The sequence below is a fragment of the Homo sapiens genome, chromosome 1, assembly GCF_000001405.40.
Source record: "Homo sapiens chromosome 1, GRCh38.p14 Primary Assembly".
In the NCBI taxonomy this organism is placed as follows: Eukaryota; Metazoa; Chordata; class Mammalia; order Primates; family Hominidae; genus Homo; species Homo sapiens.
In genome coordinates this window covers 42,934,480-42,957,573 of record NC_000001.11, presented here as the reverse complement: position 1 = coordinate 42,957,573, position 23,094 = coordinate 42,934,480, and the positions used below count along the sequence as shown (strand labels likewise).

The window sequence follows — 23,094 nt, the reverse complement described above, 5'->3', positions numbered from 1 at the left end:
CTTTTGAAACGGTCCCTCTTTATCTATTATACTTTGATTTTTCCATCTCGTCAGCTGGGAGGGCACCTGGATGGCCCTTGTTTTCTTAGCTGGGACGCGGGGGTAGCACTGAATTTTGAACTGCCCTTCCTACTGGCTGTGGAGGTGTCCCGCTGAGACTGAGCGGGGTGGCGCTGGGCCGCACCCTCGGCAGGAAAAGGCCTTCCGCCCCACACCTGTTGAATCCATAAATCCAGACGACTTGGTTCACCCTTCCTGGGCCCTCGCTTGAGGTGAGACCCCGGGGAAGTTCCCGGGGAAGGCTCCCAGGATCTTAGGTGAGCCGTAAGGGTGGGATATAACTAAACAAAAGTTCAGTGAGAAGCTCTTCTAGCTAGTGGCAAGGAAGTCCAAATATCTCAGGGCTCTTGCAGGCCACTTAACTTCTGGGCCTCAGTTTTTCCATCTGAAAGAGATCACTTTTGTCACTTCCTCTAGGGAAGGAACTATCTATTCAGCATACTATGCCAGACATGGGTATTTATTTGTTGAGTGGATAAGGGAATACTACGTGGAGACAGAAAAGTGGAGGAGAAAATCAGCAGGTTCTTAGCCAAACTACTTTAAGCGTCACGGACCTTATAGCCCTGCTGGTTACTCACTAGCCTGGAGCTCAGAGAAGGGAAATAAGTTTGCCAAAGTCACACAGCTAGTAAGTGGTTGAACTGGATTTGAACCCAGGCCCATCAGATTTAATTTCATTTCTGTCTCCACTGTCTCTCTTCACCACAACATTTCTTGAATTTTGGGCAGAAGGGAGAGAGTTTGCCTATCTTCAAAGGTGGCCCCTTGTGCCAGCTGGTTCTAAATAGTGTAGCAGGTGGGTGCTCTTCATGGAGTGTTCTCCAAGTTTTCCACTGTCTACCTCGTCAGTAATTAATGTTGGAACACCTCTTTCACAGTGGTGTATCTGTATTTTTATTTTTTTATTTTTATTTATTTATTTTTTGAGACGGAGTTTCGCTTTTGTTGCCCAGGCTGGAGTGCAATGGCGCGATCTCAACTCCCTGCAACCTCTGCCTCCCGGGTTCAAGCGTTTCTTCTGCCTCAGCCTCCCGAGTAGCTGGAATTACAGGCATGTGCCACCACACCCAGCTAATGTTTTTTTTTTTTTTTTTTTTTTTTTTGTAGTTTTAGTAGAGACGGGGTTTCTCCATGTTGGTCAGGCTGGTCTCGAACTCCCGACCTCAGATGATCTGCCCGCCTCGGCCTCCCAAAGTGCTGGGATTACAGGCCTGGGATTACAGGCGTGAGCCACCACGCCCGGCTGTATTTTTAAATTCATGCACATGCAGTTTGATACTAACAGATGATATGCCTTCATAAAATAGAAATTTCAAAAGACAGATAGATACAAGACAGCAGTTATAGTCATTTTCCCCTCCAAATCTTGTGTAGATCATTCCATATACATTCTGGAATAAAGCCCTTCCCTTTGGAGACTGCTGATTTGACCTGCAAGCACAGCCTTTTTGTGCATGATGTTAGAGGCCTGGGGAGGTCATATCGCTTGCCTTTCACACAAGATCTGAAAACCAGGTGTGTCTGGCTCCAAAGCCTTGGTTCTGCTATGTTCCTCTTTGTCTCCTAGGAAATGGGAACTGACTTAACTAACTTCCCCGTGTTCCATTGTGCTCCTCTGTAACTCACAGTAATGAGCTTAGCTGAATAGGAAGTAGGGGACAGATGGAATCACCTTGCCTACAAGCCAGGGGTTCGCCCACGATCTCTCCTGGGCAGCACGCAAGGGTGAGCCCTGCCCCAGATGTCTCACCCCACCCTTCGTGAAGAACTTGTAACTAGCCTTGCCTATGCCCATCACTCATCACTTTTCTGGCCAGTCTCTACCTTCCAGAAAAGGAAAAATCAGAAATCTGCAGGCTTTCTCAGCCCCTTTGTGGTGCAGACAGCATAGTTTTTTGTTTTTTGTCTTTTTTTGAGACGAGGTCTCACTCTGTCACCCAGGCAAGTATCTTGGCTTACTGCAACCTCTACCTCCCAGGCTCAAGCGATTCTGTCACCTCAGCCTCTTGAGTAGCTGGAACCACAGACATGCGTCACCGTGCCCAGCTAAATTTTTGTATTTTTGGTAGAGACAGGGTTTCGCCATGTTGCCCAGGCTGGTCTCGAACTCTTGAGCTCAGGTGATCCGCCCACTTCAGCCTCCCAAAGTGTTGGGATTACAGGCGTGAGCTACCGCACCCGGCCAAACATAGATGTTTGCATATGTGGTTTTGAATCCCAGCTTAGCTTAGTTGCCCAGTTTTCATCATTACAGTGTCTAGGAATTCAGAAAAGAATGTACGTCTCTGTCCCCATAGATGCTCCATAAATATTTCTTGCTTCCTTGGACTCCCATGATGCCTTACCTGGGCTGTGGGTGACTTGTACCTGGGCCTTGGCCTTTATCCAAAAGCTGGCATTCTGGCAGTATGAGCTTTTGGGGAGTCAGGATGCTGGCCCATGGGTATTAAGTCAGGTAAATCATTAAAGCTCCCACTAACCCATTCTTCCTAGTAGGGGCTTGTTGGGAAGTGAGTAGGCATGGCACATGGGTGAGAGTGCCAGGCCAGGGAGGGTCAGCTCATGTGAGTGCCCTGCGCTGCTTTGGGCTTCTTTGCTTTGCTTTTTTGCCTTAGGCTTCCTGCCTACCTTTCTGAATTTGGGTCACCCTTGGGATAGTTTGAAAGGGACATTCATGTCCATTAACTCCAAGGGTCCTCACAACTGCCCTGTGATACAAGTTACAGTGACCTCATGGTCCAATAAAAAATGACTTTGCCAAGATCACACACTGAGCCTCCCACCCCAAGACATGCTGCCAGCCTTTCCAGGATGACATTAGAGGGTGGAAGGAACCCAGAGCAGGAGGGGCCTTCCAGCCATGGCCCAGCCCTCCATTTGACAAATGGGGAAATTGAGTCCAGAGAAGGGAAGAGATTTGTCCGAGATAAGGCTATCACAAAAGATTTGAGGCGTTCTATGGAGCTGTGTTTTGTTTTGATTTTTGAGACGGAGTTTCGCTCTTGTTGCCCAGGCTGGAGTGCCATGACACAATCTCAGCTCACCACAACCTTCGCCTCCCAGGTTCTAGTGGTTCTCCTGCCTCAGCCTCCCGAGTAGCTGGGATTACAGGCATGTGCCACCATGCCCGGCTAATTTTTTTGTATTTTTTTTTAGTAGAGATGGGGTTTCTTCATGTTGGTCAAGCTGGTCTCGAACTCCAGACCTCAGGTGATCCGCCCACCTCGGCCTCCCAAAGTGCTGGGATTACAGGTGTGAGCCACCGCGCCTGGCCTAGCTGTGTTTTTTTTTTAAAGATGCTTTCTTCTCCACATGCCTGTCTGTGCCATCCTCCACCCACCCCAAATGAGCAGGAATCCCCAGACACAGGACTTGCCATGCCATAGGAGCCTGAAAGTTGGATTAGACGTAACTTGACAACTGAAACTCTACTGTGAATGGAAACAAAACACTAGATGTTCCCACTAAACTCTGACCTTGAAGAAGTGGCTTTCCTTGGAGCCTTGGTTTCCTTCTCAGTAAATAGAGACTTGGCTACCCCCAGTGGATGTGGTGAGACTGGCCCCGTGCCCTAAATTAGAGAAGTGGCTATTTTAAGTGGAAAGACCCTTTGTAAGGCCAGTCTGGGTGTACAAATGATGTAAACAGCCCCAAGATGATCCTTGTCTAGTACCGAGCCATCCAGGGATTCGACCCTATTTGCCCCGGAGCTGGGCCAGCCTCAAATCCCCCGTAATCAGCTTGTGACTTCAAGGAGCTCAGCTTTGCCCAGTGCCTCCTGGTCACGGGGTGTCGGCCCAGAGCTCTGCTCAAGTACCAAGGGTACAGCCATCCAGCTCCCTGCTTCCCCAAGACTGGCAAAGCTGGGGAGGCCTGGAACAAAGAGGAAAGTGTGCAGTGTTGGCTTGGGGCCTGCAACCTCACCCCTTCCCCCACCTCACTCCTGGGCATAAAGGTGATAAAGCCGCTCACTCAGTCTGCAGTCTGGTAACCGACGTCCCCATGATGGCGGAGGCTGGGAGGCCTCCTGACCAGATTCATGGGCTCAGAGAGGCTGTGTCCAGGCCTGCAGGCCCAGCCCTGGCTACCCTAACAAGCCTCCAATTGTTACCTCTCTCCACGGGAGGGGTGGACTGGAGCCTGAGGCTCTGTCTTCCAGCCACCAGGCCTGGCAGTAGCTGATGCATAAACATTAGGGTTTTGCAGTAACTGAGCAGGGCTCCCAGGCCTTGAACCTGGGCAGAAAGAAGACAGCATCTCCTCTCTTTGTGACCACACTGACTTGCCTCCCTGAGGCTTCTGCACCCTGGAATGGGAGAGAGCTCTTGCCAGGCCTCAGCTGATGGAGCCTTTGGCTACTGAGGCCTCTGCTGGACAGGAAGTCTGCCTATGTCTCCTAGCCCAGTTTATCTCCCCCTGCCCTGGCATTTGGGAGTGGGGAGGAAACGGCTCCATCAGAAACAGCTCTACCATTGGACCTTAGGCCAGCCACACTTCTTGTTGGAGCTTGTGTCCTCAGCTGTACTGGGGATGAGAGCTAGCTGTCTGGGTCAGCGGCACTGAGGCTCCAGGGGAGCATGTGGTCTGTGCAGCAGGCTTGGGGAGTGCTGAGCAGCACAGATTGGGTTTCATAGCACAGTGGGAGCCCAGACAGGCCAGCTAGCCATAAGCACCTCTGCTGGAGGAAGAGGTGGACTCTCTTGGGCTGGAGGGCCCAGTTCAAGGAAAGAAACAAACAGCTACACTGGGCTCCTTGATCACCCAGCTGTGGCAGTTCTTCTTGAGGACTTCCTGCCCCTAGGTGGGGGCTGCCTTCAGCTCCCTGCTGCGTGTGATAACTTGGGTGTGGCCCTCACAGCTGTGCAGAAGCTATTCCCAGAGGGTTCTGGCCCCAGGTAAACAGATTCTGCTCTGGGCTCGCCTTGCCTCCATCCCACAGCCCTGTGTGCTGTCTGTGGCACAGCCTAGAGCAGCACTGCCTCGTGGCCCTGGCCCTTATGCGGCTGGAGCTGATCCTGAAGTCCAGTGTCCCAGCGGTCATGGCTGGCATCATCACCATCTACAACCTGGTGATGGAAGTCCTTATCCCCAACTCGCTGATCGACTGCATCAGCCTCTACGGGAATCTCCTCCAGCCAAGCGCTAGGCTGAGTGTGGGCCTGAGTGGCCCGGCAGCCAGCTATGTCATCAGCACTGTGGGGGACACAGTGCTGCCTAGAAGCCCGGGCTATTTGTGGGCTTGATCCTGATCCTCATTTTCACTGCATGGTCTCATTCTCTCCACAAAGTAGCCTTTGAGCCCACCAGCCACAGAATGTGATATAAAGATCACCCCTGCTTATTCCAGAATGAACAGCCTGAGACACATATCCCTTCAGTAGTTGGTCTTGTGAATGCAGTGTCCTAGTGCAAATGCCCATCATCTGTTGACCCCATCCTTGCCCCTGCCTGCCCCATGCTGTGGATATCTGGGCCCCCTCATCACCCATCCTGGCCCCCTGACCAGTGAGGATGCCCCCTCCCATCTAGGGTACTCTGCGTCTAAGGATGAATTCCAGTGTAATTTTCTCTCTTCTGTAGGTTTATTTATGGAAGATTGGACCTGTTCATACATCTGTGGGGCAGCCCTCCATCTCCCAGCTATATAAAGTCTCTAACCACAGTGTTGCATTGTGGGGTTACCATGTGGTCTGACACTTCCTTGCATGAACTACCCTCACTCCAGCCCTGGACAGTCCAGGGCCTAGCAGGCAGTGTGTGGGGCCTACCAGGTCCTGGCATCCAAGCTGTGTCCAATAAAGTTCTTAGATGTGACTGGAAAAAAAATTGGATTAAAAAAAAGCTTCAGAAGTTACAGAGCCAACTACAGAGAAGCATAATAAATGAAAGAGTGTCTTCTAGTTTTGACAGTTTGGTGTTTACCCTAAAGACTTCTCTTTGTGCATGTGTAGATACATGCCTATAAATAGAATATTTGTGTAGTTGGATCCCACTTTCTGCATAGTTCTTTGCAACCCATTCTGTTCACCAAACCAACCCTTAGAGGTAAATACTGGCAGTGTTTCTCTCTGCACATACAACCAAGTGCCACTATACAAGTTCACTAACTCCCTGTTCCTTACACAATATGTACATCCTATTGCTTTTTTTCCCCCCTGAACAATCTACCCTGGTACTCTTCATAACACATACATGTTATGTGAAACACAGATGTGTTTCATTCTTTCCAATAGCTGCATAATACTTCATTACAGGCATGTCCCACCATGATTAAGAAATAGCAGCCCCATCACCTTCTTCATACCACTCACCACCTGATGTATTACATGTATTTATTTTCTGCCCCAGCCTTCAACTAACCTATCAAGTTCCATAGGCAGGGATTTGGTATAGTTTTATCGCTGAATTTCCATTGACTAGAAGAGTGTTGGGAGCATGCATTCAGGCATAATCTTTCCTTAGCAATATCATTTATTCATAGAAGATCCTCTCTTATGGAGAATTAACTGAAGCTTAGAGGAAGAGACTTTTTTTTGAGACGGAGTTTCACTCTTGTTGCCCAAGCTGGAGTGCAATGGCGCGATCTCGGCTCACTGCAACCTCTGCCTCCCGGGTTCAAGTGATTCTCCTGCCTCAGCCTCCCGAGTAGTTGGGATTACAGGCGCGCGCCCCCCACGCCCAGCTAATTTTTCGTATTTTTAGTAGAGACGGGGTTTCACCATGTTGGTCAGGCTGGTCTTGAACTCCTGACCTCAGGTGATCCGCCCACCTCAGCCTCCCAAAGTGCTGGAATTACAGGCGTGAGCCACCATGCCCAGCCAGGAAAGGACTTTTTTAAGGTCACACAAGTGGAGGAGCTGGGACTTAAATGTGTCTGCTGAGAGTGACAGTGAACTTTGCATGTGCCCAATCTTACCAAATTAATGTTCTCTTAGTTGAATTATTGCCCATCTCACCACCAAATGTGTATCTTCTCAGGGGTGTCAGTTTCCCCAGGGTCCAGATCCTGGCCCCACACCCACACATGGCCAAGGAGCCATTTACATTTAACATTCCATAATAGGATGCATACCTTTTCGGTTATTTAGGGAGGATGTGGTTTTGCCTGGAAGGCTTTGAGAATGCTGGGCAGCTAGCTCAGGGGACGTGGGGCTTAAAGCAGAGGCCGATCAACTTTTTTCTAAAGGGCCAGATAGAGCGTAAATATTGTCAGCTTTGTTGGACATGTAGTTCTCGGCCTGCCACTCAGCTTTGCTGTTGCAGTACAAAAGCAGCTGTAGACAAATGAGTGTGGCTGTGTTCCAATAAAACTTTATTCATGGTCACTGAAATGTGAATTTAATATAATTCTTACATATCACAAAATATTAGTCATTGTCTTTTTTTTCTCCCCAGCTACTTAAAAATGTAAAACTCATTCTTAGCTGCCATAGTTTGCCAACTTTGGCTTATAGCAAATGCAGCAAAGTGGCCCAAAGGTTTCTGAGCCTGTGCCCGGGCTGTCTCAGCTCAGAGTGGGCAAGGCTCAGAGAGTTGCTTTTATGGAATTTGACCTACATAGAAAGCACCAGGTAGAAACCTTGTTTCCTTCAGGGACCAGTACCCGGAAACAAGGGGGAGGACCTAAGCAGGAAAGCCATAGAATTTGGCATCAGAGACCCCCAATTGGAAACTTCCCTGAAGCCTAGAGTCCCCTGGTTCTGCGCTTTTCCCTCTCTCTCATTTCTCATCTGTGAAAAGGGAGTAATCGCTCCCCAAAAGCTTGTTCATGGTGGTTAATCAGAATGTGTGAGCAGCCTCTGGCAGGGTGCCTCAGCTCGCTGCTGCTGCTGCTGCTAAATGCACCAGCCCCCTCCTCTCAGTTCTACTTTGAAGACTGGCGAGTGCCTTCTGCCTCGAGGGCAACCAGGGGTGTCTGGAGGTTCAGTCATGCAAGGGTCTTGATATCATTGGAAGGCTTAAAGGAAGTGGCTTCAGGAGCACTTAATGCTTGAGGTCACCCTAAGGTCAGGTTTTGGACTGTTAGTCCATCACTCTTCTTTTTTAAAAGGCTTGGCAGGATGGAACCGGTCAGAGGGTAGAATGCCAGGCTAGGAAACCAAACAACTCTAGTCCCAACCCTGGCTTTTGTTTGTATGCTAGGCTGGGCACCTGCCCTCTGACCTCAGGTGCCTCCTGTCAAGTGCCGATGTTACAGCAGTCTGCAATTTCTTGAGCTTCTTTCTTTCTTATTGCAGCCAAAGCTGTCTTATTTTTTTTTCTTTTGAGAGTGTCTCACTCTGTCGCCCAGACTGGAATGCAGTCGTGCAATATCTGCTCACTACAACCTCCGCCTCCCAGGTTAAAGTGATTCTATTCTCCTGCCTCAGCCTCCCAAGTAGCTGGGATTATAGGCATGTGCCACCACACCCCACTAATTTTTGTACTTTTTTTTTTTTTTTTTGAGACAGAGTCTTGCTCTGTCGCCCAGGCTGGAGTGCAGTGGCGCGATCTCAGCTCACTGCAAGCTCTGCCTCCTGGGTTCAAGCCATTCTCCTGCCTCAGCCTCCCGAGTAGCTGGGACTACAGGCATGCGCCACCATGCCGGGCTAATTTTTTTTTTGTATTTTTAGTAGAAACGGGGTTTCACCGTGTTAGCCAGGATGGTCTCGATCTCCTGACCTCGTGATCTGCCCGCCTTGCCTCCCAAAGTGCTGGGATTACAGGGGTGAGCCACCGTGCCCGGCTCCAACTTTTCTATTTTTAGTAGAGACAGGGTTTTGCTGTGTTGGCCAAGCTGGTCTGGAACTCCTGGCCTTAACCAATCCGCCCGCCTCGGCCTACCAGAGTGCTGGGATTATAGGTGTAAGCCACCGCGCCCAGCCTTGAGGTTCTTTCTTTTAATGCCCAGAAGTTCATTTAAATGAGTAAGAAACACAACAAAACAAATTAAAAGGGAGCTGTCATGGATTCAGGTAAACCCCTCCCCCACTCCTTTGAGCCGTGGACTAAGCAGTTGGAAAGCCCTGCGTCCCCTGCTTCCCTGCACCTGGGGAACCCATGTGGGATGCTGTGGGAAGAGGACAAGATGGAGCAACATCTGGAGTCTGCCAGCCCTGGGACCCTCCTCTTGCCAGGAATACCCTGCCTCTGAGTAGCAGTAGCCACGTGCCCTTCCTGTGCCAATATAGATTGAGAACCTGCTGCAGGCCAACCCTGGGGCTGGAGCGCAATGCTGACACACTGACATGGGTCAAAAGGCCACAGTGTTTGGCAAGTTATACAATGTGGCCAGGGCCATCTGGCATCCGAGCGTTGGGGGAGAGGTCCTGAATCTTAACACCTCATCCATGGCTTCCTGGGAGAGGGAGGGCTCTTGTGGGTCGTGAGACCCCCAGCGGTGGGATAGGGAGGGTGAGGGGTGGGGACATGAGAAATGCTTCTCTGTGCTGGACCCTGAGCCCAGTTGCTGGCCAAGCTGGGAGGCCATGACTCTCCTAGGAGAGTCAGGATTTGAACTCAGTCTGCCTGACTTCAGAGGTCCTTCCTTGACAGCCCTGTGGGCTTGGAGTGGAGGGTTTTGTGGGGTGCTGTATTTACCTCTCAGAGCTCTGATGTTCCAGCACTCGTCAGGGGTTTGATAAATGGCTAAGGATGAACACTGGTCTGGCACAACAGATACTCACAGAGCCAGCTTTGCCCAAAAGCCAAATTGAAAAGTGGCAGGTTTCTTTGTTTGGCAATTAGCATGTGCTGTTCCCTACTCTCGTCACTCTGGCTGCAGACACGGTATGACCCAGGTTCCATTCCTTTTTTTTATCTCACTCTGTTGCCGAGGCTGGAGTGAAGTGGCATGATCTTGGCTCACTGCAACTTCTGCCTCCCAGGCTCAGGTGATACAGATGTGTGCCACCATATCCAGCTGTTTTTTTTTTTTTTTTTTTTTTTTTGTGTGTGTGTGTGTGTAATTTTAGTAGAGACCTGGTTTCACCATATTGCCCAGGCAGGTCTTGAACTCCTGAGCTCAAATGATCCGCCCACCTTGGCCTCCCAAAGTTCTGGGATCACCGCGTCCTGCCCCTGGTTCTATTCTTAAGGAGTTCCCAAACTGAGTGGCAGATGGGTAATAAGCTAGAGACTGCAGAGGACATAGCAAGAGCAAAGGCCTGGAAGAGAATGGAATGTTCTAGAAAGTAGTCTCATCCCCAGGGAGTGCTGATGGGCTGCTGGGGATCCCAGACTCTGGGCTGTACATTGCTCCCCACCAGTAAAAAAGGCTCCCACAAGAAAATCACAAGCTCTATGGGGCTAGTACCCTTCTCTAAGTCATCACCAACTGTTCATCAGCTTGACACCAGAATAAATAAATACACGTTGAGTGAATGGACTTCATTGCCATGTTCCAGTTCTAGCCACTGGCTGGTGGGGGCAGATGGTGCTGAGGCTGCCCGATCGAGGGTAGCTTGCTATTCTTCACCGATCCAGCAAACACTTGTGGAGGGAATTCTGCCAGGCTTCATGATGGATACTGATAGAAAACGTAACAGCAACCCTTTAAGGAAGGAACTTTCATCCCCGTTTTCTAGGTGAGGAAACCAAGGCCCAGAGCAGGGCTGCCTTGTATCCAACTCCAAGGTGAAAGGAGGCAGCTTGCTGCATTTAAACGTGGGTCTGCTTCCAAGCCCAGCAATGATCAAGCCGGCTATAGTGGGCGCAGCAGAGTGGCAGCATGAATCTGAGATTGGTCGCAGTGTCTTGTGCCTACTGAGGAGCAGGGGCCATGTCCCTCCCCCTACACCTAGCACTGAGCCACACTGAGCACGCTGTTTCTTAATCTGACTGGTCCCCATTTCTTCTCCTTGCACATACTGTTCTGTCCACCTGGAATGTAGCCTTGCCACTGCTTTCCCACTTGGCAGACTCTCTGTGTGTCCTTCACAGCCCAGCTCCAATGTCACCTCCTGGGAACTCATCTTTTTTTGTACCCAGGCAAAACTGGAAATCTTTCCCTCCAGGGTTCTCACAGTGCCTCATACCAGCCCCCTGTTGAAGCCCAGACCACACTAGCCTCTCATCTTCATCTGCCTCCCCACTGCCCCCACCCCACTGTACTGGAAACTCCTTCCTTGGTGTCAGGACTGGGTCCAGTTTCATCCGGGGCCCCAGCTCTACTTAGCATGAGACCTAGAGCATGGGTCACTGGTATTTTAGTCAGTCCTAGTGCAGCAGCTGCCTGGGTGGATGTGGATATGACCCAGGGAGTGGGTAGGCAGGTTTTCTAAAGTCGAGTTTGACCTCGACCTGCTGATGACAAGGTCCAGCGGAGGGGTATGTCCTTGGCCTCCAGCAGCCCCCATTGACAGAGGCTACAGTCGAGCAGCTGCTCAGTGGGGCCCCAGGGATGACTTCAGAGGCTCCAGACCCCTGGAACATCAGATGCAGACCTCAGTAAAACAGGGCCTGTGATAATAGCACTTACCTCACATAGCCAGTGTCATTCACTCATGCTCTACCAACATAATTTTTGCCAGATCCATGGATCATTTGTATTATTTTCCACTTAATGTTTTTATTTAAATTGCTTTGTTCTAAGTAATATGAAATCACAGGGCTTGTAAAAATTATTTTGAATAGGTGATTCCATTCACACCATTCAGAATTCAAAAAAGTGCCAAAGGCTATAAAATGAAATCTCCCTTTCACCCTGTCCCCAGTCACCCAGGCCCCCCCGGGGTTAGAATGTTACCTTTCTTGTACATTCTTGTTTTTTGTTTTTTGTTTTTTTTTTTTTTTGAGACAGAGTCTGCTCTGTCGCCCAGGCTGGAGTGCAGTGGCGCCATCTCGGCTCACTTCATCTCCCAGATAAAGTGATTCTTGTCCCTCAGCCTCCCAAGTAGTTGGGACTACAGGCACGCACCACCATGCCCAGCTAATTTTTGTATTTTTAGTAGAGACAGGGTTTTGCCATGTTGGCCAGGCTGGTCTCGAACTCCTGGCCTCAAGCTGAGATTATAGATGTGAGCCACCGTGCCTAGCCTCTTGTGCATTCTTTTAAATAGATGTGTATATTCTCCCCCTACCCCCAGCCAATTTTTTTTTTTAACCCAAAAGGTAGCATACAATATACACACTGCTCTGTTTTTGGTTTCGCTTTTGTTTTTTGGGACAGAGTCTCACTCTGTCACCCAGGCTGGAGTGCCATGGGGTGATCACAGCTCACTGCGGCCTCGAACTCCCAGGTTATGTATTCCATTATATCACTATGCCACGTTTTCTTAAATGATAGATTGATGTCACTGCATTGCTTGTTTTTTAATCTATTCTAATGTGTTCCAGAAAAATACAGTATATACTTTGCATCCCATGAGCAAATGCAGGTAATACCGCAGGCAGAAAGCCCAGCACGTGGCGGGCCTAGCAGTCGCTGTTTAGTGAGCCCTCCTGGTGATGCTTAGTGCCTTGCCACAGCCTCTGAATTAGTGTCCACCCTATGAATTAGGCTTGACCTGGTGTGTCGCTGGGGTCCCCCAGAAATTTGTCAGCTGCTCACTACCCACTCGGAACAACAGCTCTGGGCCTGAAGGCTCCCCAGAGAATTGAGAGAAGGGAGATTCTGGGGGCAGTGCCAGGACATACGGGGGGTGGGGGCTGTCTTTCTAGTTGGGCAATGCAGAGGATTTAGAGGGAATGGAGTCCCTGTGGTATGAGGGAAGCCCCAGCATGTGGAATAAATGTCCAGAGGCAGGCTAAGGGGTCAGGTAGACAGACTAATGGGAAGGAAGGATGCAGCGCACACACAGAGGGGGCTCTGAGCTGCACACTCCTCCTGGGCCGAAGCCTTCTTCCTCTTTCGCAGCCTCTGATGTGAGAGCCTTGGCTTTTGCAGTCGTTGCCCTGACTGACGCTTTCAGAGAATGAAAAGACCATACTGGGAATATGCCTGGTAACAGCTATGCCCAGGGCTATCTGTGATGATCTTGAAGTAAAGGCTGCTTCTGGGTTCTGTGGAAACCAAGGCCCAGAGACCCACAGCCAGGCCATGGCCAGCTCCACCCACTTCCAGGGCCCAGCTTGGTATAGTGTGCGTAGTGAATGCCAGTCGTTTCTTTGGCATGCCTCCCGCAGCCCTGTTCTCCCACAATCAGTTAAAGGCCTGCCTAATGTCACATTTCCTGACTTCCTCATTTTTATAGCTGAAAAGAGCACTTTTCTTCAGCAGGGCTGACACCCTGCTGGCCTCTCAGTCACCTGTGGCTAAGCAGGGCTCTTCACCTGCTGGCCTCTGCCCTTCCTGCTGCCTTAGGTCCTCGGCTTCCAATGGACAGAAGCAAACTGCTCTTTTTCTCTCCCATCCCTTTGCCCATTGGAAACACCTTAGCCCCACACTCTTACTCACCTTGTGCACTTTTCCAAAGTGCATTCCCGCCTAGCATGTCGTCTATGTCCATATAACCTTGGGAGGCTTATGGTTTGGGGATTATTGCCGTGAGGAGCACTGGGTAAGGAGTCCGGAGCCCTGAGCTCTGCTGCAGGCTCCTGAGTGATCTGGAACTTGCCTCACCCTCTCAGGGCTCAGTTTCCTGCCCTGTGAACAGCAGGAAGGGTAGGGCAAGGTGGGATCACATCTCCAATGTGACAAACGAAGCTGTTGCCATTTTGCTGACAAGCAAATGGAGGATAGGGGAGAGGTGGTACATGGGGGACTTAGCCTGCTGGAATTCACAGAGCAAACAGGCAGATGGGCTGGAATCAGAAGCCAGCGGCTTCAGCTCCAAATCCAGGGTGCTTCTCCTATCTATATCTGTGCTATTCCTACCAAGTAATTTGGGCCCCCTCGCATAGGAGGGCTGGTTCCTGGGCCTCCCAGTCAGAGAGTCTAGAACCACCAGACCCTAGGCATGGCTCCACCAGGGAAATGAGACCCCCAAGAATCCAAAGCCTCTCCCTCTCTGAGACCTGGCTACAGAGAGAGAAGATCATACTTCCCCTCTCTCCCCAGGAAATGGCCCGGCCAGCCCAGTATCTTGAAGTCAGCTAGGCTGGTTTGGGCACCTAAGGTCAGGAATTGGCCAAGTTTCCTGGGAGAAAGACTGGTGTGGTGCCAAGAGTCAGGCAAGATATCTGAACACAGAAACTTGCCAGTCCAGGCCCTGCCCTGTAGTAACCTGCTCCCAGACACGCCTATAACAGTGTGGTTTGTTTCTCCGCAGAAGCTGACGGGTCGCCTCATGCTGGCCGTGGGAGGAGCAGTGCTTGGCTCCCTGCAGTTTGGCTACAACACTGGAGTCATCAATGCCCCCCAGAAGGTGAGTACTGTGCCATCGTTGGCTTATGGACACCAGCCTGCTCTGTTGCACATCACACATGCCCACAGTCTCACGCCACCACCTGAATTAGAGTCATTTATATGAACGCACTGTACTGTCTGCCTCTCCAGCCAGTTTTCTGGCCCTGATCATGTCAGAGACTCTTCTCTTGCTTTGGAATCAGGGTGGCAGAATTCTAGAATCTCAGGTCCCACAGAATCCTGGGGTCTTGTATAGGCCCTCTTGACCAACCCCCCACCCAACTCAGTCATTTAATAATATGTTTGATGATATAATAAACTCAAAGCAAAGCTCAATACAATAATGCTGCATTTCCGTGGCATTCTGGGGCTGCAGAGGGTTTTCATGGGCTTGTCTCACTTGATGCTCACTGCAGCACTGTCAGGAGGCAGCAGGCACCACTCCCAGCCTGCAGGTGTGGGAAACGGCCAGAGAGAGGAAACCCGCCCAATATCACCCAGCTAAGTCAGAGACAGAGCTGGTATCCAACACCTGCCTGCCAGGTGGTCCTTGAGCCTGCACTCATACCCATCCACAGGCAGCACACTTCCTTTATTTGTAGGTTGAAACCGCGTCCTCTCCCTGAAGGCCCTGTGGCAGTCAAAGCAGAAATGGCGTCTTGCCCTAGGGAGCCACAGGGGGTGAAGGTCTGTGCTGGCTTCCTCCTCCCTGCCGTGCATCCTAGATCTGTCCTCACTTGTTTACTTGAATGTCAGGATGGGAAGGGACCTAGACCATCTCCTCCAGCCCAGCCTACTTGCATTAAGGAGGAGAGAAGAGGAAAAGGGGGTAGGGGGTAGGAGGCAGGGACAGGAAAGGAAACTGAGCCCTTCCTCTGTACCAGGCATTTTGCTTGTGTTTATGAGATTGGGTGGTGATTTCCATTTTGTAGACCCGGAAACTGAGGCCCAGGCAGATGAAATGGCCGACAGGCCCAAGGTCACAAAGCTATTGAATGCTGGAGTCAGAAGCCAAGCTCTGTTGTTTCCATGGCCTCAGGTTGTCTTCCTAACCAGCTGCCTTGCCCGTTTAAAAATCTGTACCTTCCCAGAGAGGACCAAATGAGAGTGGGCAGTCCTCACGTCAGGACCACATTTCTTGTCCAGACGGATGGGGCTAGAAAGTGAGTGCAGTGACTCCCAAAGATCAGGGTCCTGTTTGGGGGAACCAGGTAGTGTCTAGAGTTAGCTGGGCTTCTTCCAAATAGGCAGACAGTGGCTATGGGGCCACGCCCGATGCTGAGGAGCAAGTCACCAGGAAGGCTTGGCCTGCTGAGTCATGCTCAGCTGCAGGGGAGGTGACAGGACTTTTCCAAGTTTGCTGGGCATGGAGACCGTGGGCCCATGCTTGGACCAGCCCCAAGCCCTGCATTTGCTAAGTGCTCTTGACAGCTCTTGCCAAAGTGTGTGCTTCAGAACTGGCTCCCTTTGGGAATCCTTACAGATGGAAAGTCTGTAAGACAGGCTGGGAGGAAACAGAGGGAGGTTGAGCTCTCCACTTGGTTGCACATTGGGGTTTCCAGAACGCCCCCAGATTCTGATTTAATTGGTCTGGGATGCTGTTTGGGCATTCAATTAAAAGCTTCCCAACCAATTCGAATGTGCAGCCAAGGTTGACAGCTACTGGATTTAATGATGTCTTGACTGTGATCTCATAGTGAGTTAATGACAGAACTAGGACTCTAAGGCCAGGACAGAGGAGGTGTTTTCCAGAAACAGAACAGGGTTGGGGTGAGCAGGGGGCCTTCAAAGCAAAATGCCCAGAAGACAGAAAGCCTGGCATTCAGTAAAGCGTGAGTAGTTTAGTGTGTCACTAGAGTGAACAGGAGGAGGGGAAAGGTTGGGGAGGTCAACAAGGTAAGGTAGGCAAGAGCCAGACCACAAAGGGCCTTGTGAGTATGGCACGGCACAGTCAGAAGGGGCGGATGGGCACCAGCACGGGGGCCCAGCTAGGGAGCATGGACTTCAGGATGAGGACAATAGGGACCCACTGCCCAGGGCAGACGTGATCAGACTTGCATTGTAGGGAAATGACTCAGGCGTCTGGTATGGAGGGGCGGACTTAAGAATGTGAGACTAGAGACGGGAAACCATCAAGAAAGTTGCCGTTGGACTAGTGACATAAAAGCAAACCCTCAGAGGAAGAATGGACAGGATTTGGTCATCAATTCCGTGCGAGGGCAACAGAGAAGGGTTTAAAAATGGTTTCTAGGTTTCTGGCATGGGTGATGTGTGGTTTGAAGAAGGAGCAGGTGTGCCAGGAGCTGAGAGGTGGCCGTGGGATGTGCAGGAATGGAGGCGTGGGGTGACACAGCTGGAGATGTGCAGGAGGCACCTGTATGTATGGGTCTGTTTCTTAGACCCAGGCTGGAGAAAAGTTGAGAATTAGTCACTGGTATCCACACAGTGGAGAAAGATCTTCTAGGGAGACTGTGGAATAAAAAGAGAAATGAAGATTAAGGCCGGGCATGTGGCTCACGCTGTAATCCCAGCACTTTGGGAGGCTGAGGTGGGTGGATCACTTGAGCCCAGGAGTTCAAGACCAGCCTGAGCAACACATCAAGACCTCATCTCAATTTTATAATTAAATAAATAAAAATTAAAAGTAAAAGATCAAGGCCCCAGAGAACAACCCATTGCTAGAAAAAGACCCTAAGTAGAAGAACAAGAGCTGGTATCTCTAAAACCAGGAGAGGATACCCTCCCAAGACAGAGGGATAATGTAAGCCATCGAAGGGCCAGGGTATTTGTCTGGTTTGTCCACGGCCGTGTCCTTAGTGCCTAGAACGGTGCCTGTCATAGTAATAGACACTGGTGGATAGTGAGTGGAGGAAGGCCATCGGGTACCCCAGGGGTTGAACTGGGCAAGCCTCTCCACATTGCTGAATGCAGAAGAGGCGATGGTGGCCTTGTGGCCACTCGGGCTGACTGGGTGGCACAGCGTGGATAGAAGCCTCACTACGATTGGGTGAAGAGTGAGAGGCAGATGAGAAAGGGTGGAGACGGCTCTTCCAAAAGAGTTGGTGGGAGAGGGAGAAAAGAGGAGGTTTGGAATGATGGTATGGCTAGGAATTTATTTATTTATTTTAATGAAGGTTATTTTTAAACATGTTGGAAGGAATCAGCAGGAGAGGGTGAAGATAAGGAAGTGAGGGCGGAGGTCTTCCAGGAGGGAGGGTGGTGTCGGAGCAGAAGGGAGGGGCTGCCTTTGGCCAGGAGGGACTGAGATACCTTTTTTTTTTTTTTTTTTTTTGAGACGGAGTCTTGCTCTGCTGCCCAGGCCAGAGTACAGTGGCATGATCTTGGCTCACTGCAACCTCCGCTTCCTGGGTTCAAGTGGTTCTCGTGCCTCAGCTTTCCAAGTAGCTGGGCTACTGGTACAGGTGTGTACCACCACGCCCAGCTAATTTTTGTGTTTTTAGTAGAGATGGGGTTTCACCAGGTTGGTGAGGCTGGTCTCAAACTCCTGACCTCAGGCGATCCACCTGCCTTGGCCTCCCAAAGTGCTGGGATTACAGGTATGAGCCACCATGCCCAGCCAGGGACTGAGAGACTTCTGAAGATGTAGACAAATCTGAGATGAACTTCTGTGATCCCCGGGGCCTCCCATCTAATCAGAAATAGGCAAGAGGTTATAACTGTCATGGAATATGGGCAGAACCTCTGACCAGGGCATCACGGGGCTGGTCAGCAGCACAGAGGGCCCAGATGAGCCTGTAAACTGCATTCATAGGACCATGTATGGTCACCTGTCCAAAGGTCACTTCAGGAACCAGCCCCAGCAGACCGAAGCTGGAGATGTGAGTGGCCAGAACTGAGAACGCTGAAATCTAGCGGTGTTTCTTGGGCAAGCACCCAGACACTTGGTCTGTTGACTTTTGTACTTTACAAACACTTCTCACAAGGCTGGCTGTAGTTTTTCCAACCAGGAGCCAGATTAGAAGTGATACATGTAACATGTGAAGAGAGGACAGAAGGACCCAAGAAGAAGAAATGAAAGTGAGGCTCAGAGCCCATGTGTAGTAACAGGGCAGAGAGACTCCTGTGCCCGCGTAGGCTGAAGGCCTGCCCTAGGGCGACACAGAGATTCCATCTGGCCAACCCTTTCATTCAGCCAGGACTTCCTGAGCATCCACGCTGTGCCAGATGCGGTCCTAGACAGTAAGGAGAGAGAAGTATAGCTGTGAACACAGCAGGCACATGCTGGCCCTCAGGGAGCTGCCTGAGACACAGTCTGAGCCAGGCCCTGTCTCCACAGCAGTGGGAGAGACCCCTTGGAGAAAGCCAGAGTGTCACTAACAGAGGGCTTCAAGGTGCTGTGAGAGCAAACGGGGCAACTAATGCTGGGGCTGGGGTGACAGGGGAGATTAAAAAAAGGGCTTCACGAAGGACTTGGCAGCCATGCTCGACCTTGAAGGGTTAGTTGACCTCATAGGGCAGGAGGGGCAGGTGTCTGGGCAGTGAGAGGGGCTTCTGCAGAGGTGCAGGGGTGTGAAATGTTCTGCTGATGCGGAATTGCTAACTGCCTGCAGTGGGCACACTGACTTCCCTTGTCTGTTTAGAAGAACCTCTCTTAGGAAACAGCATTGGGTTGGCCACAGTTTGCCTACTCTTGAGAAGAGACTTTGCCCCACAAGTGGTGAGGATGCCAGAAGCTTGTTCTCTTCCATAAAACAGGCCCCAAAGGGCTTCCTCCTGGAAGTGGTTAATTAATCATACTACCTTATATGTTTACAAAGCACCACCCCATAAATTACCACCTCACAGCAACTCTACAAGGCAGGCGGGGCTGACATCTTCCCCTCTTCTAAATGAGGGAACTGAAGCCAGATGAGGTATCTGGAGAGTGAGAGGCTGAGCTAGAGGTGGGCTCCAGGCCTTGTGCCTCCCCAGCTCTGCACACTGCCCCTGCCCTGCTGTGAGTGTGACAGGACATTCCTGCCATGCATCCCCTCCTGGAGGAGGAGGACAGAGCAGAAGAGGTGAGCCCAGCCACAGAGGGAGCAGCTAAATGAACCAGGGAATCCTGACCATCATACTGGGCTCATCCGAGCACTGCCTTTCCCCTCCCCAAATGACTGAGCTGCCAGTAGAGATGACTGACGGCCACTGAGAAACCATGAAGTCCTGGCCCAAGGGACAGTGTCAGGCATGTCTGAGAATAAGGCATCCTCAGAATCCAGAGTTTGGGCCAGAAAGGCCTCAGTTGTTTGACAAACAACACTCCTTGTTTGACAAAGGAGGAACCTGGTCTGCAGAGGAGGTGAGGTCTGCCCAGGATGACCCAGCTTGGTGAGTGAAAGAGCTGGAGGCAACACCCGCCTCCCAACCCAAGCCCTGTGTCCCGTCAGGCTGAACTGGGCTTCGTGCTCTAGGCAGCCTCTCCTTCTCTCTCCTATATCCAAAGAGTTCTAGTCCTCTCTCCCCTTCACCCGTCACCACTACCATAAACCCTTACTGCTTACTTATAGCTTGCCCAGGCATTGTTATACATACTCTAGAAATAGTAATTCAGTTGTTCTTCAAAATAACCCCATTAGGCAGACACCATAATTTTCCCTGCTCTATAAGAAACTGGGGCACAGGAATGTTAAGCAATTAAAGCAAGGACACACAGCTAGTAAGTGGCAAGGCTGCAATGTAACTCCGGGGAGTCTGGCCCTAGTCTGTGCCCTTGACCATTGTGGAAGATGGACACAGTCCCAGATGGGCACCTAAACACCCTTTCACTCACCTACAACTGCCACCTAGCTGGCAGTGTGTGGTCTCACTTTGGAGCTGAGTCAAGCTCAGTCATGTACCAACATCTCAGGTTTCCCACACACAGTTGCACAATCTCTTACACCATCACACCCTGTCATATCACATCACCCCTCAAGCCCTTCAGTTAGATTCATGGCTTGTTGGTCATTTAGTGTCAACTCTGCACCTCCACCACCGTGCTGGGCACCAGCAACATGGATGCATCAGACAGACCATCTCCGTGCTGAGGTTTACTGTACAGGGAGCACACGGTACCTTACAGTTAGTCTTCTAAAGGCGATGATGGAAATGCGAGCAAGCACAGTGGGAGCAGGGAAGGAAGAGGGAGAGGGTGCTTCGCCCTTAGAGCAGGGTTTCTCAGCTTGGCACTGTGATGTTTCTGCTGGTGTTGTAGAGGCCTGTCCCATGCATTGGAGGATGTTTATCAGCATCCTTGGCTTCTGCCCTCTAGATACCAGTAGCCAGTGTGGCAACCAAAAATGTCTCTGGGCATTGGCAGATGTCCTATGGGGTACCAAAGCCGTCTCTGTTTGAGAACCAGTTGCAGTGGAGTGGGAGGGGTGGTTCTCGGGAGGAAGGCTTTCCAGAGGAGTATCTGTGCATGTTCTGAAAGGTGATTAGGCCCAAGCAAAGGTGTGAGGTGTCTAGGTCGTATGAGGGAGTCACTGCGTGTGCCTTGTGAGTCATAGTTGGGGTAGAGGAGACACTTTATTGCAAGAGCTGAGAAGGGCTTCGGGTGTGGCCACGGCAGTGGGATGATTCCTCTGTCTACCGGGAGGCCTGGCCTGGCCTGGCCTTGGTTTGGAGGCTAGCCATGTCAGGGCTGTTCCAGGGAAGCAGCCTGGGTGGTCCAGCCCTCTGCAGGGGGGTTGGGGCCCAGCTCTAGCCCCAACCTGGGCCTCTTCCCCCAGGCCCCAAAGTGAGGCCCCAGGGGACCCAGTGGGCAGGGTTATCTGTCCAGCCCCACCTGGAACATCTGGCTCCAATCTCCCAGCTCACCCTGGGGTGTGGCTGAGAGTTGCTGTGGAGATGAAGGCCCTGGGCTGAGAGCTTGTGGGAAGGGCAGTGTGGGGCCAGCCCCAACTGGAAGACAGGGGCAGGCAAGGAACAGGGGTGAAGGCCAGGCTGAGAGGCTAAGCCGGAGAAGCTGGCCCTTTCCTCCTTGTAACTGGCGCTGAAAGCTTGGCTGGCAGTTTAGCCCCTTCTTCCCCACAATAGCATCCCGTAGAGCACAGGGAGAGTTGAGACCGAGCCTAAACCTGGCCCAGGGATCCCTGCTGGGGATGACCTAACTGACCTAGTCCTCCTGGGGTAAAGGAATGTCTAGAGGGAAGGATGGTGAGACCAGCCAGAGGTTCCAAAACGCATACCCCTCCTGGCAGTGGTCTAGAATCCTAGATCAAGGGTTGGCAGGAGGGCCACATCCAGCCAGCAGCCTGTTTTTGTGCAACCCATGAGCTAACAATGGTTTTTACATTTTTACAAGGTTGAGAAAAAAAGAACAATGAGTGACAGAGGCCATATGTGGCTCACAGACCCTACCTAATGGATTCTAGCTAGCCTTTTACATAAAATGTTTACCCCAGTCCGGCTCTGGAGCACTTTGACTTGCATGCTCCCTACTTACAGGGAACTCACCACCTGTAAGGTGGGCAGCCTCATACCCTGAAGTCTATAAAGCTCTTCCTTCCCCTGAGCTGGAGTCTGGCCCTGGCACCTCTGCCCTCTGGGGCTACAGAGTGCTGGGTTCCTCTGCCAGGAGCAGCCGAGCAGGGTCTGGAGACTAGCTTTATTCCCTGAGGCAGGCCCGTAGTTCCTTCAGGTTCCTCCTTACTCTTACATTCTTAGGGTAATGATTTCTGGCAATTTCAAAATGGAAAACCTTGTCCCTAAGGCTCCTCCGAAAGTGGTGACTTCTTTTCTTGAGAGAGCAACAGTGACAGCAGTAACAGCTTACCCATGTGCCAGGCAGTGTTCGCCGCCTCATGCCCCTCTACAAAGGGGAAGTGAGAAGTTCCTTGGCAGATGGGCAGACATGTAGTCTCACCCACAGTTGCCTCGACTGGCGGGAGGTGGTGTGGGGATTCCCAGGTGTCCTTAGGCTTGGGCAGGCCTCCCCCTCACCCCAGGAGAGCCACCGGGTGAGGAATAGCTTCGCGTACCAGAAGCCATCCGGTTCAAAGGATCTCAGCTGCCCAGAGTCAACCTGCTTCTCCAGGGTGGTCTCCATGGTGGGTGTCCTCTAGGCTCAGTGAGGCACCTGGACAGAGATCTGTAGTAGCCCCTCAGCTCTAGGCTGGCCGACACCATGGCAGTCCCCCCAGGAACTAACCAGAACCGCTCCTCCCTCCTCAACACGCTTGCCGCCACCCAGACTCCACAGCTGGGTGAAGAGACTGGGCTGGGAAGGGAGCAGAGAAGCGGGTGGATGGCCGAGCCTGGCACATTTGGTGTGCAGGACTCCGACTGCATTCTGAGGGGTGGTTCACTGTGGGAAATGGGGTCTGACTTTGGTGGATAGGAAGAGTCGGGAGCAGAATCCAGATGAGACCCAGGGCAGGCTGCCTGGGTAGAGAAGTAGGACAGACTCGGAGGCAGAATCGAGAGGACCTGGTGATGGATGGATGTGGGGTGGTGGCAGCATCAAGTGTTTAAATCCTAAGCTTGGGACGGGCATGTGAGGTGGGAGCGTTCAGAACAGGCACGTGCCAGGTCTCACCTCACACATGACCCAGGGTTGCGGAGGCTGCTGGGAGCCGGCGGGATTGGGCCTGTGGGATCCTGTCAGGGCATAATAAGTAGACTCTTCTTTCCTGAGGTGCACCCAGACACTTCTAGGGAGGATGTGACCCCAGAGCTTTTCCCCATGTAGGGTTCTTCTCATTCTCCAGCATCCCCCTGCCTTTCCTGGGCCAAGAGTCAGCGTGGAACCCCATACGAATCCCCAGGGAGGAGAGGGCACA

General features: G+C 51.4%; 1 protein-coding gene and 1 pseudogene across 1 annotated transcript in view, besides 16 other annotated features; both read left to right on the top strand.

The window, feature by feature from the left end:
* SLC2A1 (solute carrier family 2 member 1) overlaps positions 1-23,094 on the top strand; it is a 33,516-nt gene that overhangs the window by 1,295 nt on the left and 9,127 nt on the right. The window contains exon 2 of the mRNA NM_006516.4: positions 14,253-14,348. Coding sequence (NP_006507.2) covers positions 14,253-14,348 — 96 coding nt within the window. The remainder of the gene's footprint in view (positions 1-14,252; positions 14,349-23,094) is intronic.
* Positions 1,863-2,152: an enhancer, noted in NCBI's record as "active region_910". NCBI's record gives its function as "activates an Ori minimal core promoter by ATAC-STARR-seq in GM12878 lymphoblastoid cells {active_cell/tissue: GM12878}" and the evidence as "EXISTENCE:reporter gene assay evidence [ECO:0000049][PMID:35858748]".
* Positions 3,504-4,448: an enhancer, noted in NCBI's record as "H3K27ac-H3K4me1 hESC enhancer chr1:43418797-43419741 (GRCh37/hg19 assembly coordinates)". NCBI's record gives its function as "activates a minimal SCP1, AML or CMV promoter by ChIP-STARR-seq in naive H9 embryonic stem cells {active_cell/tissue: H9 hESC(naive)}" and the evidence as "EXISTENCE:reporter gene assay evidence [ECO:0000049][PMID:30033119]".
* Positions 4,682-4,976: an enhancer, noted in NCBI's record as "tiled region #3978; K562 Activating DNase matched - State 1:Tss". NCBI's record gives its function as "activates a minimal TATA promoter and a strong SV40 promoter by Sharpr-MPRA in K562 cells {active_cell/tissue: K562}" and the evidence as "EXISTENCE:reporter gene assay evidence [ECO:0000049][PMID:27701403]".
* Positions 4,902-5,311, top strand: ATP6V0CP4 (ATPase H+ transporting V0 subunit c pseudogene 4; annotated as a pseudogene).
* Positions 5,099-5,168: an enhancer, noted in NCBI's record as "active region_909". NCBI's record gives its function as "activates an Ori minimal core promoter by ATAC-STARR-seq in GM12878 lymphoblastoid cells {active_cell/tissue: GM12878}" and the evidence as "EXISTENCE:reporter gene assay evidence [ECO:0000049][PMID:35858748]".
* Positions 6,703-7,238: an enhancer, noted in NCBI's record as "H3K4me1 hESC enhancer chr1:43416007-43416542 (GRCh37/hg19 assembly coordinates)". NCBI's record gives its function as "activates a minimal SCP1, AML or CMV promoter by ChIP-STARR-seq in primed H9 embryonic stem cells {active_cell/tissue: H9 hESC(primed)}" and the evidence as "EXISTENCE:reporter gene assay evidence [ECO:0000049][PMID:30033119]".
* Positions 10,257-10,756: an enhancer, noted in NCBI's record as "H3K4me1 hESC enhancer chr1:43412489-43412988 (GRCh37/hg19 assembly coordinates)". NCBI's record gives its function as "activates a minimal SCP1, AML or CMV promoter by ChIP-STARR-seq in naive H9 embryonic stem cells {active_cell/tissue: H9 hESC(naive)}" and the evidence as "EXISTENCE:reporter gene assay evidence [ECO:0000049][PMID:30033119]".
* Positions 10,757-11,258: an enhancer, noted in NCBI's record as "H3K4me1 hESC enhancer chr1:43411987-43412488 (GRCh37/hg19 assembly coordinates)". NCBI's record gives its function as "activates a minimal SCP1, AML or CMV promoter by ChIP-STARR-seq in naive H9 embryonic stem cells {active_cell/tissue: H9 hESC(naive)}" and the evidence as "EXISTENCE:reporter gene assay evidence [ECO:0000049][PMID:30033119]".
* Positions 12,118-12,277: an enhancer, noted in NCBI's record as "active region_908". NCBI's record gives its function as "activates an Ori minimal core promoter by ATAC-STARR-seq in GM12878 lymphoblastoid cells {active_cell/tissue: GM12878}" and the evidence as "EXISTENCE:reporter gene assay evidence [ECO:0000049][PMID:35858748]".
* Positions 12,368-12,497: an enhancer, noted in NCBI's record as "active region_907". NCBI's record gives its function as "activates an Ori minimal core promoter by ATAC-STARR-seq in GM12878 lymphoblastoid cells {active_cell/tissue: GM12878}" and the evidence as "EXISTENCE:reporter gene assay evidence [ECO:0000049][PMID:35858748]".
* Positions 12,928-12,977: an enhancer, noted in NCBI's record as "active region_906". NCBI's record gives its function as "activates an Ori minimal core promoter by ATAC-STARR-seq in GM12878 lymphoblastoid cells {active_cell/tissue: GM12878}" and the evidence as "EXISTENCE:reporter gene assay evidence [ECO:0000049][PMID:35858748]".
* Positions 14,225-14,733: an enhancer, noted in NCBI's record as "H3K27ac-H3K4me1 hESC enhancer chr1:43408512-43409020 (GRCh37/hg19 assembly coordinates)". NCBI's record gives its function as "activates a minimal SCP1, AML or CMV promoter by ChIP-STARR-seq in naive H9 embryonic stem cells {active_cell/tissue: H9 hESC(naive)}" and the evidence as "EXISTENCE:reporter gene assay evidence [ECO:0000049][PMID:30033119]".
* Positions 16,259-16,767: an enhancer, noted in NCBI's record as "H3K27ac-H3K4me1 hESC enhancer chr1:43406478-43406986 (GRCh37/hg19 assembly coordinates)". NCBI's record gives its function as "activates a minimal SCP1, AML or CMV promoter by ChIP-STARR-seq in naive H9 embryonic stem cells {active_cell/tissue: H9 hESC(naive)}" and the evidence as "EXISTENCE:reporter gene assay evidence [ECO:0000049][PMID:30033119]".
* Positions 16,318-16,467: an enhancer, noted in NCBI's record as "active region_905". NCBI's record gives its function as "activates an Ori minimal core promoter by ATAC-STARR-seq in GM12878 lymphoblastoid cells {active_cell/tissue: GM12878}" and the evidence as "EXISTENCE:reporter gene assay evidence [ECO:0000049][PMID:35858748]".
* Positions 16,548-16,647: an enhancer, noted in NCBI's record as "active region_904". NCBI's record gives its function as "activates an Ori minimal core promoter by ATAC-STARR-seq in GM12878 lymphoblastoid cells {active_cell/tissue: GM12878}" and the evidence as "EXISTENCE:reporter gene assay evidence [ECO:0000049][PMID:35858748]".
* Positions 20,692-20,761: an enhancer, noted in NCBI's record as "active region_903". NCBI's record gives its function as "activates an Ori minimal core promoter by ATAC-STARR-seq in GM12878 lymphoblastoid cells {active_cell/tissue: GM12878}" and the evidence as "EXISTENCE:reporter gene assay evidence [ECO:0000049][PMID:35858748]".
* Positions 22,136-22,928: an enhancer, noted in NCBI's record as "H3K27ac-H3K4me1 hESC enhancer chr1:43400317-43401109 (GRCh37/hg19 assembly coordinates)". NCBI's record gives its function as "activates a minimal SCP1, AML or CMV promoter by ChIP-STARR-seq in primed H9 embryonic stem cells {active_cell/tissue: H9 hESC(primed)}" and the evidence as "EXISTENCE:reporter gene assay evidence [ECO:0000049][PMID:30033119]".